The sequence below is a fragment of the Homo sapiens genome, chromosome 11 (genome assembly GCF_000001405.40).
Source record: "Homo sapiens chromosome 11, GRCh38.p14 Primary Assembly".
NCBI lineage: Eukaryota > Metazoa > Chordata > Mammalia > Primates > Hominidae > Homo > Homo sapiens.
In genome coordinates this window covers 60914158-60927432 of record NC_000011.10, presented here as the reverse complement: position 1 = coordinate 60927432, position 13275 = coordinate 60914158, and the positions used below count along the sequence as shown (strand labels likewise).

Here is a 13275-nt window from a genome sequence, read left to right as displayed (position 1 = left end):
TGCCCCCTCCTTACCTGCTGAGTGGCAAAAGGTGGGTAGGAGGCCCGGAGAAGTGGCTGGGCCCTGGGCCAGGGCTGTAGGAGCAGAAAGGTCTCAGATCGGGAGCTCAGAGAGGAGTTGGCAGGTGGGTAGTGGCCCACCTGCTGCACACGGAAGTGTTCAGGGGCGTCTAGGAGCTCCAGGGCTGCCGGCAGGTAGACAGGGTCCAGGGGAGCCTGGCCACAGTCCACTGAAGAGGCATAAGAGGGAGAGATGATGACAGCTCCAGAGCTGGCAGGGGCTGACCCGGGTGCCATGCTGGGGCACAGTAGTTGTGGGCAAGGGAGGGAGAAAAGGGCTGTAAATGTCCCTTCCCCTCTCACCACCATTTCACAGATGAGGTCACTGAGGCTTAAAGAGCCTCACACAGGTAGTATGTAGCAAAGCCAGGATTCGAATCTGAGTCCAGGACTGGATGCTTCCCAGCTATTCCTTCTACTTTCCACAGACCTTGGCCTTCTTCTCGCCAACAGCCTTCTCAATGTCTCCTTTTCCCCAACTCCTGCCCTCCATCTACTCGCCTCTGATACCAAGGCACTTCTGGGGTGCAACCGTCGGCAGACTGGGCCAGTGTAGTAAAATATGGTAATGAAGTGAGCTTTCTCTGCCCTGAATCCTTGGCCAGGCTCTGCTGGGCATCCACCCCTCCTCCCCCATCATTGCCATGGCAACCTGCACCATCTTTCCAAGCTTGCTCCCTTCTTCCCTGAACCGACTGGTATCGAGTGCAAGTGTGGGATGGGCGGGCGCGGAAGGTGCTGAAGAGGTCTGTGAAGGCACTTGCTTGCCCTGGGGGTGGGGTGGGGACCAGGAGCCTGGGGAAGACAGTCAAAATAGTCAATCATCAGAAGGACAAAGGAGCACTAAGCCATATTGGTTTGCTCTAACTATGAGCACTAATAATAATAATTAGCATTTTGTGAATGCTATATGCAGGTGAGAATTTAAATACTGTATGTATATGAACTCTTTGAGTCTTTGTAATAATTCTGTGAACCAGGTTCTATTATGATGAATCCCATTTTGTGGATGTAGAAAATGAGGCCGAGAGGTTAAGGTATTTGCCTGTGGTTCCACAGCTGGAGAGTGAAGGAGCTGGGGGTTGATCCCAGGTATTAGCCACTAGACCATCCGGCGTCTCCACCTGCCACTTCTCTCTCCACTCTCCACTGCCACGGTGCACCCTGCAGGCTTCATGCCCTGGAGCGCACCTCCTCTCCTCTGCTCTGCCCGGTGGCACCTCCCTCCTCATTCAGGGCCATGAGTGAATACTGCCTCCTTCTGAAGGAAGCCCTCCTTGGTTACTCACCTTCCCACCAGTCTCCTGTCTTTTGCAACCCTGGGTGCCTCCTCTGAATTAGTAATCTTCCTATAAACAAGGGACCCTGTCTTGCTCATCCTGGAATTCCCCCAAACTAGGAAGCGCTCCCTAGAGAGGATTTCCTGGGAGCCTGGAGACCTGAATTTAAATTGATGAAACTTGGGTCAGGCATTAACATTTTGAAGCCTGTTTCCTCACTTGTAAAAGGGGCAGGAGCATTAGGTGGCACTGTGGACAGGACAGGGCTGTGTAAACTGTGGAGTGCTGTCTGGAGGGAGCAGGCATTATTGCTGCTGCATAATGGATTTGACAAGGTTTTCCTCCTCTCTCTATTAGGACTCCCATGGCGTCCCTCGGGATGGGGAGCAGGTGGCTGAAAGCAACCCCACAGCTAGCTCCCTCTCAGCCCCACAGCTGGACTGTGGGTGGGGGTGGGGGAATTGGTTTCAACCTCCTTCCTGGCCCTCCCCACCAAGGAGCATATGACTGACAGGCTCTCCCTGCCCCCTGCCCCAAGCGTAACAAGTGACCACTGCTCTCTGGGGGCAGCCACTGGCTTCAGGTTCGCCTCCTACTCCATTGCCTCCATAATTACAAGATGCTCTTAGCCTGACTCCCACGGACTCCCATCACCCAGCGCTCGGCTCTCTCGGTGGGGAGGGCAGAGAATGTTTCACTGTCCCTCTGTCTTCTGTGGCATCCTTTGCCTTGCAGCCACAGCCCAGCTAGCCCAGGCCAAGGGAGTCCGACCCCCACCCCGAAGCACAGGGAAGTTGCTGCCCTTTCCCGCAGTGACAGGAATCCTCTCAAAGGTTCTGGAAGGCAAGGATGCGGCCATCCCTGGAGACGCCAAGGTCAGGGAGCCCTGGGGGAAGGGGGAGGGAGGGCTTGCGTCTGTTGCAGGTCCCAGGCAAAGGGGCTGCTTTCCACTCCCGAGGGGGGTGGGTTGGTGGCGGCGGAAGGAGGCTAGGAGGGTGCAGCGCTACAGACCACAGTGAGGGAGTGGGGATGACGCTAGTGCGCCCGGGACCGGGGCCGCCGGGTTCGATGCCCGGGCTGAGGGGTCCCTCGCAGAAGGTGCGGGACGGGGAAGCCCCTGCGCCGGGCTGCCCCGGGTCAGGAAGGAGTTGCCGGGTCGTGCAAGGTGAAGGAAGCCTTAGGGGCGAGTGGCTGGGGGCAGGTTCCCGAGGGCAAGAACTCTCCGACCTTCAGGGCGCTGCGGGGCGACCCCGCTCAGGGTTCAGTCCGAGAACCCAAAGGTTGGTGGCTCCCGGGCATCACTCGCTCCCACTCGGCCGGGCCCGGCCGCCCCTCGCCCCGGCCCTCCCCTCCCGCTGACCTCTCACGACGTCCAGGGCGAGGGCCACCAGGAGGCAGAGCCAGGGGCCGTAGGGCCCCCGAGGGGCCGCTGTTGTGCGACCGGCCATCCGCGCGCACATCCTTCCCACAGAAGGCGGGGACGAGGCGGGCGGCTCAGGTGGCCCCAGTCCCGCACGGCATCTCCCGCACCCGCTCCGCGCCGTCCCCACCTGGCCCGCTGGGTCCCGGCCGCCGCCGCCGCCGCCGCCGCCCGCCCCGCGGCTGCAATTCCCAGACAATGGAGCGGGAGCAGTGGGGTGGGAGGGAGCGAATCGCAGCACATGGGCTGCCCCCTCCGCCCCGCCGGGTCCTAGTGCCCTACGGATCCCCAATCCCTGCGCGCTCAGGCGACCGAGGTCGGGAAGAGGGCCACGTCCCTGGAAGCAACAGAGGACGGCCGCCTCTGCCAGGAGGGACTCGGTGAGTTCTGTGTGGCTCCCTCACGGAAGCTTCTGATCAGGGAAGAAAAAGCCACTTTCTCTGCCTCACCCACCCCCACAAGCAGCTCACTTGTGAAGGCATCTGACACCTGAGTCAGAACCAGAATTCAGGGACACATGGGACGGGAGCTGCAGGGACAGGAAAGGAGGGAGGGGGTCAAACGGGGCCAGATGCCAACCACCTGAGCCTGCCCTGACAGAGCTAGGCCACCGCCGTGGAGGAAGGGCTCTAGGTGCAGGCAGCTCTAGTCTCTTGACCAGCTCCACCTGGGCAGCGTCCTGCAGCGCTTAGGAGGGTTGAGGGTTGCCCAACACTCCCGAGGGAAGGCCAGCCTCAAGGGTCCTGACCCAGTGTTGCCTACCAGGCAGTTTGGGGAGAGGCCCAGAGCAGGGGCCCCAGCTGCACACTCTCATGCCCTGGGCAGCTTACAAAGAAAAAATTATGTCTGAGGCCCTCCGCAAAATTGGTCCAGCCTGTGGGCCGACTGGAAACCTTGGCACAGGAAAGTCCTCAGGTGGGTGGTGAAGGGGAGGGCAGGCAAGTCTTCTCCAGGCTGCCCACCCACCTCAGCACACTGCAGGGAAGGGGTGACCCCTCTGCCCAGCAAGCACACGCATTTCCAGCAGTGCCAGTCGTTCCTACGTTTTGTAATGGGGGCATGCTTTCCTAATTCCTTGTGCTCCTGGAGGGAAGGGTACCTGGTACCAGCCTGCCTTTTCAGCTCTCCCCTCTGCCAGCTTCACACTGCCCCCACAGGGAGAAATTGGGAGGCGGAGCTGCACTACAGAAATGGGTTTAGCAGTAGAGGAGACATGGAAGCAATCCAGACTTGGAGTAAATACATTTTATTCAGAACAAGATAATAAAATAGCGTGCACTTTATTTAAAACCAACCAAGCACTGATAAAAAATATATATCACTGCAGCTGTGATTCCACATCAAACCTGAACAGTAAGAATTGGGCATTTATTCTTCACATCATGTGCCAAGCCTGGCAGAGAAGGACATCCACCTCCACTAGAGCCTCAAAGGAAAAGTGGCCCCTAACCACCAAGACAGGGTACCCTGGTGGAGAGGGGCAGCTGGCAGCTCACCCTGCTCTCTGCAGACCACGTGAAGGGAAAGGAGCTGCCTGTGTTCCTCCCGGGCTGCCGGGGTGGGCACTGGTCAGCAACTCCTTCTCGGTTTCAGGTTGTGGAGCGATGGGGAGAGAAGTGCATGCAGTTGTGCAGACAAGGAGGCGGGTCCTCCCTCCTCTTTCAGGGTCTCTGAAACCCCCACAGGGCATATAATGCCCAGCAAGGTCCCACTTGCAGGCACATGCCTACAAAGCAGCAGCCATCTTTTGCTTTGGCTGATGGGGAATCAAGATTCTGAGAGTGACTGCTCTTTTCTTGACACAAAGCAGCCACAGAACACTTTCCTACATACAGTATGGCAGCAGGCAAGCAGAAGGCCCTGCTGGCTCGGATTAAGGCACTTGAAAGAGACACAAGGTACATCCTCCTCCCCTGCAGCCCCCACAGGCCTCAGGGGACCCTGTTTCCCCACCCTTTATCCTCAGGTCCCCTTACCCCTGCCCCTCCCTACTGCTGGGCAATGAGGAGGACAGGAGCGTGCCTTAAAGGACCATGGTTTGGTGGGAGTACAGGGTAGGAGGATGAGGAAAACAAGAAGGGAGCTGGAGATTTGGCCAAGGAGCAACTTCAGAAGGACAGGAGAGCACGAGCATTAGGAGGAAGCCAAGGCAGCAGCAGAGGGAAGCCAGTTAAGTCATGAGAGACCAACGGCAGTGATGTTTGCTGGCGCAGATGCAGAAGCCAGAGGGAGGCCCCTCCAACCTTCCCTGGTGAGGCAGGCTGGGAGCAGAGAAAGGGTTAAGAGAGCCAACCCCAGACAGAGAACCTCAGAAGACAGGGCCGCAAGGACAGGCAGGGGGAATGGTCTTTCTCTGTTTCTCTTGGCTAGTGGGGCTGCGGCAAGGATCAATGTTCTGAAGGTTCAGAGACAGGGCAAGAAAAGGGCAGGGGGCTGGCAGGAGGGCTGCATGGCCCCGAAGCAGCTCAGCTCTTTGGTATGACACTGGCGGTGTGTGGGGCATCCGGCTCACTCCTCCTCCACACTGCGGGCCCCCTTGGCCGCTCGCCTCTGGCGCCAGCGCAGCTCCTCCACCTGGCGTTCCAGCCCTCGCACCTTGGCCTCGAGTTGGGCCCCAGAGGCTCGGGAGCCAGTGAGCCGGCTCAGCAGGGCGTAGAGGATCAGCAAGGCCAGGAGTAGCAGGGCCCGGGTGGAAGGGTCAGGCACCGACCTCATCAGGGCCACGAAGCCGGCCAGGAAGATGACAAGCTTCAGGCCCCACAGGATCCGCCCCAGCAAGGCCAAGACCAAGCCGAGGAGCAGAGACAGCAGCCAGTAGACGACCAGGGCCCCTGCTCCCCACAGCAGGAAGGTCTGGACCTGGCCAGGGCTGAGCTTCAGGCCCTGGGCGAGGTAATCACCTGGAAGCCAAGAGAGTCACAGAGTCAGCCAACCTGGAGAAGTGGTGAGGGGAGAGCGGGGCAAGAGCTAAAAGGGTGGGAGGTGCTAGGCACATTGCAAAGGAATAAGCCGTTCTCGCAGACTCAGAGTGATATGGGTTGGAATCTCAGCTCTGTTTCTTGCTGGCTGTGAGGCCTGGAGTAGATTACTTGCTTCTGTTGAGCTGCAGTTTCATTTACTAAACGGGAACAATTCTACTGCCTCCCTGTACTGTGGCTGGCAATTAAATGAGATACTACAGCTCAGCACGATGCCTGATAGGAAGTGAACAACTGGCACGTGGTGGCGGAAGTTCTTTTTTAGGGGGTCTGGGTGGGACAGGGTTTTGCTCCATCGCCGAGGCTGGAGTGCAGTGACGTGATCCCGGCTCACTGCAACCTCTACCTCCTGGGCTCAAGCGATCCTCCCACCTCAGCTCCCAAGTAGCTGGGACAACAGACACACGCCACCATGCTTGGCTAATTTTTTATAGAGACGAGGTCTCATTATATTGCCCAGGCTGGTCTCAAACTTCTGGCCTCAAGTGACCCTCCTGCCTTGACCTCCCAAAGTGCTGGGATTACAGGCGGGAGCCACCACACCTGGCCATGGTAGTTCTTGGCTTGCTCTTTGGCCATGTCTCTGCAGAATCCTGGGAAGGGTTAAGCAGCTTGGGGAAAAGGCTAGACCCTGACAAAGATGAACTCCCACAAGTAGGAAAGTACAGGCAAAGCTCTGGCTGACTACCCAGCACTCGAACACTCACCAGCTAGTCCCAAGGCATTCAGCAGCTGTGCGGCGATCCCAGACAGAGCAAAGAAGGCCACAGAAATGGCTGATGAGATGGCCCACAACACTTGGGACGAAGACTGTGGAAAGAGCACGGAGCGAGATGAGTTCATAATGAACAACGGTCCTCGCCTTCACGCCTGATCACCACTGTCCAGGCAAGAACTGCAGGAATGTCTCAGACCTGTTTCTCACCCAGTGGTGACAGGCCTGGGTCAGAGGGTAGGGGCCTTGGGCCTGGCTGAGGGGTCCCTTCCACATCCACCTTCTAGTCTACAGGGATGGCCAACAGGCTGTCTCTCCTTCCTGAACTGGAAACTAGGGCATCTGGGACATAATTTAACTGCTTTGCTGGGATACTTTGGAGGGAGTAGTAGGTGTACTTGTGTGTGAATGACGGAGACAATCAAATACTTTTAGTAGTCACCCTATAAAACTGGAGGCCTGCTAGCTGTCCAGGGAGTCATGAAGGTGCGTGGAGAACATCTGTAAAGGGATAGGATGTTCCAGTGAAAAAGGAGTCTATCAGCTATACTATATTATGGATTTAATAAATGATTGTCTCAGCCCTTCAGTCCAGCCTATCAAAAGTATGTGATACCATGCTTGGGATGCCACCAGGTAAAAAAAGATAACCCTGCCTTAGGCTCCCAATAAGCTCAACCCACTTCTGCAGGTGAAGGAATGGATTCAGGACTTGATATTTTGCCATTTCGAGATTCTAGGTCAGATTTAGACCAAAGTGAGACTCTACAGTCACCCAGTAACATGGGCTTATAAAGATGGCTCATTTCCCAGCCTTTCTGGCAAGGAAAGGGCAGGAGCCAGGAAAGGATAGGGGTGGAGCTAAAAGGCCCTAGGACAGCAATCAAATAACGAGGAATTCAAAGACAAGTGCTGTGTGGCTTCTTTTTGTGGAATTTGGGGCTCTCTGCACCAGAGAGGATGTGGAACTAAGATGAGGTGGCCATTACCAACCTTTCTTCTTTTATTTTTCCTTAATGTGTGTAGTCACACAGGGACTACCTTCCTTACCTCTGACACCAGGTGCATGGTCTCTGGCCCAATCCAGGCATCCAGTGTCCCTCGCACAGATCGACCTATCTGGGTCAAGACATCAACTGGGGCTTCTCTCTTCTGTTGGCCTGGTGGTGCAAAGTCTCGACGGGACTGGGCCAATGCTGAGTGGAGGAGGATAAGGGCCACTAGGACCATCAGAATGGCTTTGAACACATGCTTTCCCCATGGTGAACTGATGCTGGAGGCTGCCATGACTGGGTCTGCCAGGAGAGAAGCACAGTGAGCTGAGTGCCATGGTAGACACACTCACCCTCTCAGCTCTGATTATCCCAACATCCTTCTCCACCCCTACCCCAAGCAAGCACCAAACTAACCCTGGAAAGAAAGTGCTGTTAGCTGGGAGAGGAAGGACTGGGACTTCCAACTGAAGCTGGGCACAACCATCTGACTCACAGGTTCCTCTTTCACATTCTTTACCACTTGCATATTAATTAACCAGCAAGTATTATTCAACACTTTAGAGTTGGCGAGAAGATCTCTCTAAGGTTTGTGCCAGTTCTAAAAATCTGAAGGCCTGTCCCTGTATCTTAGGTGCTATAGGCATAAAAGTATTATAAGACTCTATAAAGGCTCTGTCCCAAGGAGCTTATAATCTACTTAAGATACAGCTGGTATAAAAAACAACTTAAAAATAGCACACAAGTAGGATTACTGCCATATAATGGTATAAAGAAAAGTGCTCAGTTATGTGCTCAAACAAGAATAACTGCACATATGTCATCTTCTCTGCAGGACCATCATGTGAGGTGGCTTTTATCCTCCTCGCCCCTACTGGTACAGACGAGAAGAAACTGTGACTCAGAAGTTAAGCATTTTCCCATGGTCACTGGGCTACACAGAAAGGCCAGGATTTGAACCCAAGCTTCTGCTTCCACCCATCTTCATTAGGAGTCAAGTTATACTGTGGGTCTCAACCATGGCTGCTCACTGGAATCACCTGGAAGCTTCCCAAGTACTGATGTCTGTGTCCCCAGCCCAGAGGTTCTGATATCATTGTCTGGGTGTGGCCTAGCCTTGGATCTGCAAAAGCTCCCTAGGCAGTTCCACTGCATGAAGTTGAGAACCACTGATACAGAGTGACCTCACCTCCCCACCCCCAATGGAGGTGCTATGGTTTGAAGAGCAAAACTCATGTTGAAATTTAACTGTTCTTGCACCTCCTGCAGAGCCTGGGAGCTCCCAGTCCAGCCAAGGATGTTGGATCTCATGGTCCTAAGTACTTCTTTGACACCCCATTCCCCTCAGTAAAATAGTTTGACCCCTTCTCCACCAAAAAAAAAAAAAAAAGAAAGAAATTTAATTGCCATGATGATGGTATTAAAAGGTGGGACCTTTAAGAGGTGATTAGGTTATGAGGGTTCAGCCCTCATGAATGGATTAATGCCGTTATCTTGGGAGTGGATTAGTTATCCCAGGAATGCAGCTCCTGATAAAAAGGATGACTTTGGCCTGATTTCCTGTCTCTGTCTCATGTGCTGGGTTCTGCCTTCTGCCATAGGATGACCCTTGCCAGATGCCAGCGCCATGCCCTTAGACTTCCCAGCCTCTGGAACTGTGACCCTAATGAATTTCTGTTCATTATAAACTACGCAGGCAGTGGCATTCTGTTATAGGAAGCAGAAAATGGACGAGGACAGTGAGCAAGGGTATAATGAACAACCTTTAAAGAAATACTATTAATAAAAAGCTAACATTCAGCTAGGTCTTGCCATGCACCACCGCGCTCATTTAACTGTCACAACAGCCCATCGGGTAGGTGTTGCTATTATCCCCCATTTTACTGAAGTAATTGAGGCAGGTTAAGTATTAACTGGGGAAATCAGCATTTGAATGTAGGTACTTCTGACATTGGACCCCTCATACACAACAACTCTGCTGTATTGTCTCCAACTAAGTCTCAGAAGTGATTTAGAAAGTCATACAGGCCAGGCACAGTGGCTCATTCCTGTAATCCCAACACTTTGGGAGGCTGAGGTGGGAGGATTGCTTGAGCCCAGGAGTTTGGGAGCAGCCTGGGCAACATAGGAGACCCTGTCTCTACAAAATAAATATAAATAAATAAATTAGTCAGGTGTGGTGGTGCGTGCCTGTACTCCCAGCTATTTGGGAGGCTGAGGGGGGAGGATCACTTGAGCCCAGGAGGTCACGGCTGCAGTGAGCTATGATCATGCCACTGTATCCCATCCTGGGCAAGAGAGCAAGACGCTTAAAAAAAAAAGTCACACAACAGATTATTCATGAGTTAAAATAAACTTGGCATCTACCAATCATCTCAGTGAATTACTGGTGAAAATTACCTAACAACTTTGTGCTTTGTGCTCTGGTCTTGTAACACAATGCCACAGACAAGTTAAGACCCAACAAGTGCCAACTCATTGAAGCAGGTAAGGATCAGCCAAGAAAAAGTACACAAGTTCAACTTCTACTTGCCACTGTGCTTGAGAAATGTCAGACAGCGCCAGCAAATTCCCTGTTCCCCTCCAGGTTCAGAAATGAACCTGTAGCTCCAGGAGTTTTCATGATTCAGACCTGATGATCAGAGGCTAAGCCATGCCCCTGAGGTAGGAGCAGTCAGGTTTTTGAACTTTTTGCAGTTACACAGGCACTCAGGGAGTTGACAATAAATCCAGAGCCATGAGGGATGGAGAAGGAAGAGAATGATGTCCTAGTCTTGCTTAGGGGGAAGGAGGAGAGTCTAGGAAAGGGTTCTAAAAATACTACATTTAGGGTACTTTTTGGTCCAGAAACAGCTGCTCTAAGCCCTTCCAGAAGCCTGGAGGGTCAAGCAAGGCTGAAAAACATGCAATTCATGTAGAAGGCCCTCAGGCTGGGAAAGCCTTCTACTGTCTTTGGCACAAATCAAGAACCAGATGGTTCCTGCCTGCCAGTGGTCGCAGATGAGGAAAGCACAGGTGAGTTCCTGAGCTATCTGGGTCATAACCATGTTGGGGACTTAAAAGAGCAGGGTTGCTATCTTGGGTTGGATCCTTTATCCAAGGACCTCCACCAGGAGGGATCAAATATCGTTTCCTCAGCCCTAGGAGGTCAGGGTGCCATAAGCTGCTCCTCCCACAGCAGCCTGCCTTGTTCTGTGCCAGCCCCAACTCTCCAGTGGCTGTCTGCCCCAGTTAAGGGGAGCTAGGAGACCTTGAAATAAGCCCTCTGCAGTGAGGCTGGCATCGTTATGCAGACTGATGTTCTGAAGTGCACCAGATACCAAACCTAACAGGATTGTGTAGTGTATCCTTTGGAGATAATGAGTGCAGAGATTGGCTGGCTGGTCTGCTTTTTCAAATTGTTTTCTTTAATAGGATTCCTTCTCATTTTTTTCCAGGTGAATCTCAGGCAGTATGGACTCACTGCTATTAGGCCTCCTCACTTTGGCCTAATCAAATAGTTTTACTAAAGGCATGGAAACAGTCTCAGCCTCTGAGAGGAGGAAGCATGTCTTAAAACTTCTTCACCTTCTGCAATGCCTGGCCTCAGACAAATAATAGGCACTCAATTAACAACTCATAATAATACAAATGTTATACATATCTATACATATACATATGTTATAATAATTTTTGTGTGGTGCTTTATAATTCACAGAGTGCTTATTGTTTCATCACTTCATTTAACTCTAACAACAATCTTTTAAGGTATTATTACCCTCTTCATCTTACTCAGAAAAGTATGGCTTAGAGAGGTTGAGTGACTTATCCAAGATCACACAGCAGAGCTGGGACTTGACTCCAGTACCCAGGATCTCAATCTTGCCTTTTTGCTTGTCCCATACCCGCATGCTGCCTTGATAGTGGACATAGTCCCTGCCCTCATGGAGCTGAAGTTCACCAACAAGCTCAAAGTGGAAGGACATCCAGACTCCTCCGAGGGAACACATACCAGGAGACCATCTGCCTTCTGGGCTTACAGGCCATGGTTTTGTACCAAGAGGTATGAGAGGACAGCAAAAGGTGGGAGACAAAACCTGCCACTTCTGTTCGGCAGCTGCAATATGGCTCAGGTGGGTCTGGAGAGCCCAGCCTGGCTGGGGAAACAGCTTTACTTATTGTGTTAGTGAGAAGGCGCCACTGCTTATGTTTAGCTGTGGTTTGCTACAAGGGTAGGATGGGGCATTTCGCGCCCCCCCCTCCCAATCAAGGCTCCTTCCTCCTCTTCTCTTTCCTTTTGTTAGTTTCATTTCATGCTATGAATCACCAGGTGGCAGGAGGGGCGGCAAAAAGTGCCCTCTACCGGCTCTGACTGTCCCGCCGCTGCTCATAGCTGCCCCTAAGGAGCGGCGGTTCTCAACTTTGGCTGCCCATCGGAACTGCCTGTGCAGCCTGTTAAACAAGGACGTCTGCCCCACCCAGGGCTACTCACTCAGACTCTTCCAGAGAGGGACTCAGCCCTTTGTTTTGCAAAGCTCCTCAGGAATTTCGGATGCATAGCCAGCAGCTCAGGGAAAAGTCTAAGCAAAGCTTCAAAAGTGCAGCAGTGTACAAAGGACCCCTGACTTCCGTCCCAGGCTCAAGTGTGCCACGGACTAGAAGCTACTACCTTACGCCTGTTACTTAACCTGCCTGAGTTGCAGTCTCCTCAAACGTAAAAGGGAGTGAACCCAGGTGAAGAGTTGCTGTAAGGAGTTAAGATATTTCTGCAGCAAGCGCTTTGTAAACTAAACATCTATAGAAATGTTGCAGCACACACATTACCACTGACTATATATCGTAGCATAATTTAGCAGTTTATCAACCTGCCTTCCCCAGTAGACCGAGCGACTCCCGGTTAGACTTGACATGTTGGAATCCCCAGCGCCTAGTAGGAAAGATGACTAATAAATGTTTATTAAATGAATATTAGCAACCTGCCAAGAAACCGTGAGGGTCGAACGAGAAAGCCATGGAGAGGTGAGGAGGGAGGTTATTTTAATAGTAGATCCAAATATACAGCAGCCACACGAGAAGCACAGCTGAGTCTAAAGGAAGGTCCTAAACAAGGCGAAGCCGCCACTGCAGAGAATGAAGTCAGCGCCCTGGCAGGTTGGGGGCAGCTCCCACTAAACCCCTGACAGCTGCTGCCCAGCAACTGTTTGGGGGCAGGGCGACGGCAAAGGGGCAGCTTCCCTGCCGCTCCGCGCCCTAACCGGGGCGCAGCCTCCCGGAGACAGGGTGTCAGTGGCATGTGCTATTTCGAACGGCGCGTCCCCTGCCAAGCGCTGAGGGGTAGCGTCGCTGGCAAGGAACGTGGCGCGACCCATGAGTTTGGGGCCCCCCGAAGGGCTCGAGCCGAGGCTGCAGGAGGCTGGGCCGTGGGTCGGGGTTCGGGGGCTCGGGCTTGGCGCTGGCCTGGTCCCCACGCCCGGGAGCCGCTCCACCTCTGCCGGACCTCGGAACCTCGCCGCAACCCTCTTCTCCCCGGAAACGTGCGCCTCCCGGGTTGCCTGGAAACGACGCCCCCGGTTGCATAGCAACGGGGATCCGGGTCCCCGGTTTGTTTCGCACGCTGGGCGCGCGGACCCCTCCCCACTCGGACTCTCCAGGCCTCGCGGCTCCGCCTGGTGCCGCCTGCAGCGGCTGCTGTCTCCCCTTCCCGTGCGCTGCCCCACATTCCGACCTCGGCCCGCTCTCACCTTTCTCAGGCCACTGCTATCCTTCACGTGCGACTTCGCTGAAACGCGCCACCAAACCCGCGCCTCAACTCGGGGCGCTGGTTTACCTTCTCCGCATGCGCAAGGCGGGAT

General features: G+C 53.7%; 2 protein-coding genes and 1 long non-coding RNA gene across 7 annotated transcripts in view, besides 8 other annotated features; 1 reads left to right on the top strand and 2 right to left on the bottom strand.

Annotated features, from left to right (window-relative positions):
* The window catches only part of TMEM132A (transmembrane protein 132A), a 12700-nt gene extending 9727 nt beyond the window's left edge, over window positions 1-2973 (bottom strand). For 2 of the 4 annotated variants that reach the window (NM_017870.4, NM_178031.3), the window contains exons 1-2: window positions 2700-2973; window positions 15-229 (exon numbers count right to left, since the gene is read on the bottom strand). In NM_017870.4, the coding sequence (NP_060340.2) occupies window positions 15-229; window positions 2700-2799 (315 nt within the window). In that variant the 5' untranslated portion in view covers window positions 2800-2973. Of the gene's footprint in view, window positions 1-14 lie in introns of all 4 variants that reach the window. The other 2 variants (XM_017017951.3, XM_017017952.3) reach the window with 1 other exon arrangement.
* On the top strand, window positions 2036-9817 carry LOC124902676 (uncharacterized). Of its 2 annotated transcripts, none has more exons than XR_007062688.1 (2): window positions 2036-2214; window positions 8280-9817. It is a non-coding gene; the product is annotated as an uncharacterized LOC124902676 (long non-coding RNA). The 2 variants fall into 2 exon arrangements; XR_007062689.1 differs by lacking the exon at window positions 2036-2214 and adding an exon at window positions 3037-3139.
* Window positions 2328-2397: a silencer, noted in NCBI's record as "silent region_3379". NCBI's record gives its function as "represses an Ori minimal core promoter by ATAC-STARR-seq in GM12878 lymphoblastoid cells {active_cell/tissue: GM12878}" and the evidence as "EXISTENCE:reporter gene assay evidence [ECO:0000049][PMID:35858748]".
* Window positions 2438-2657: a silencer, noted in NCBI's record as "silent region_3378". NCBI's record gives its function as "represses an Ori minimal core promoter by ATAC-STARR-seq in GM12878 lymphoblastoid cells {active_cell/tissue: GM12878}" and the evidence as "EXISTENCE:reporter gene assay evidence [ECO:0000049][PMID:35858748]".
* Window positions 2718-3077: a silencer, noted in NCBI's record as "silent region_3377". NCBI's record gives its function as "represses an Ori minimal core promoter by ATAC-STARR-seq in GM12878 lymphoblastoid cells {active_cell/tissue: GM12878}" and the evidence as "EXISTENCE:reporter gene assay evidence [ECO:0000049][PMID:35858748]".
* TMEM109 (transmembrane protein 109) lies at window positions 3990-13275 on the bottom strand. Its single transcript, NM_024092.3, has 4 exons — window positions 13165-13275; window positions 7503-7747; window positions 6445-6547; window positions 3990-5659 (listed from the first exon to the last, which is right to left on the bottom strand). Exons 2-4 carry the CDS (start codon window positions 7737-7739, stop codon window positions 5268-5270), a joined length of 732 nt encoding a protein of 243 aa, NP_076997.1. The 5' UTR covers window positions 7740-7747; window positions 13165-13275; the 3' UTR covers window positions 3990-5267.
* Window positions 7397-8596: an enhancer, noted in NCBI's record as "BRD4-independent group 4 enhancer chr11:60686309-60687508 (GRCh37/hg19 assembly coordinates)". NCBI's record gives its function as "activates an origin of replication core promoter dependent on BRD2, P300/CBP, MED14 and CDK7 cofactors, and independent of BRD4, by STARR-seq in HCT116 cells {active_cell/tissue: HCT116}" and the evidence as "EXISTENCE:reporter gene assay evidence [ECO:0000049][PMID:35650434]".
* Window positions 11367-11416: an enhancer, noted in NCBI's record as "active region_4785". NCBI's record gives its function as "activates an Ori minimal core promoter by ATAC-STARR-seq in GM12878 lymphoblastoid cells {active_cell/tissue: GM12878}" and the evidence as "EXISTENCE:reporter gene assay evidence [ECO:0000049][PMID:35858748]".
* Window positions 12041-13039: an enhancer, noted in NCBI's record as "NANOG-H3K27ac-H3K4me1 hESC enhancer chr11:60681866-60682864 (GRCh37/hg19 assembly coordinates)". NCBI's record gives its function as "activates a minimal SCP1, AML or CMV promoter by ChIP-STARR-seq in naive H9 embryonic stem cells {active_cell/tissue: H9 hESC(naive)}" and the evidence as "EXISTENCE:reporter gene assay evidence [ECO:0000049][PMID:30033119]".
* Window positions 12477-12646: an enhancer, noted in NCBI's record as "active region_4784". NCBI's record gives its function as "activates an Ori minimal core promoter by ATAC-STARR-seq in GM12878 lymphoblastoid cells {active_cell/tissue: GM12878}" and the evidence as "EXISTENCE:reporter gene assay evidence [ECO:0000049][PMID:35858748]".
* Window positions 12827-12986: a silencer, noted in NCBI's record as "silent region_3376". NCBI's record gives its function as "represses an Ori minimal core promoter by ATAC-STARR-seq in GM12878 lymphoblastoid cells {active_cell/tissue: GM12878}" and the evidence as "EXISTENCE:reporter gene assay evidence [ECO:0000049][PMID:35858748]".

What these genes read in the sequence shown, in the direction of transcription:
- TMEM109 (NM_024092.3), bottom strand. Translation starts at nt 7,739, where the DNA reads ATGGCAGCCTCCAGCATCAGTTCACCATGGGGAAAGCATGTGTTCAAA. An exon ending in CCATGCACCTGGTGTCAGAG is followed by an intron (nt 6,548 to 7,502) that starts GTAAGGAAGGTA and finishes CTCTTTCCACAG; the next exon opens with TCTTCGTCCCAAGTGTTGTG. An exon ending in GAATGCCTTGGGACTAGCTG is followed by an intron (nt 5,660 to 6,444) that starts GTGAGTGTTCGA and finishes CTTGGCTTCCAG; the next exon opens with GTGATTACCTCGCCCAGGGC.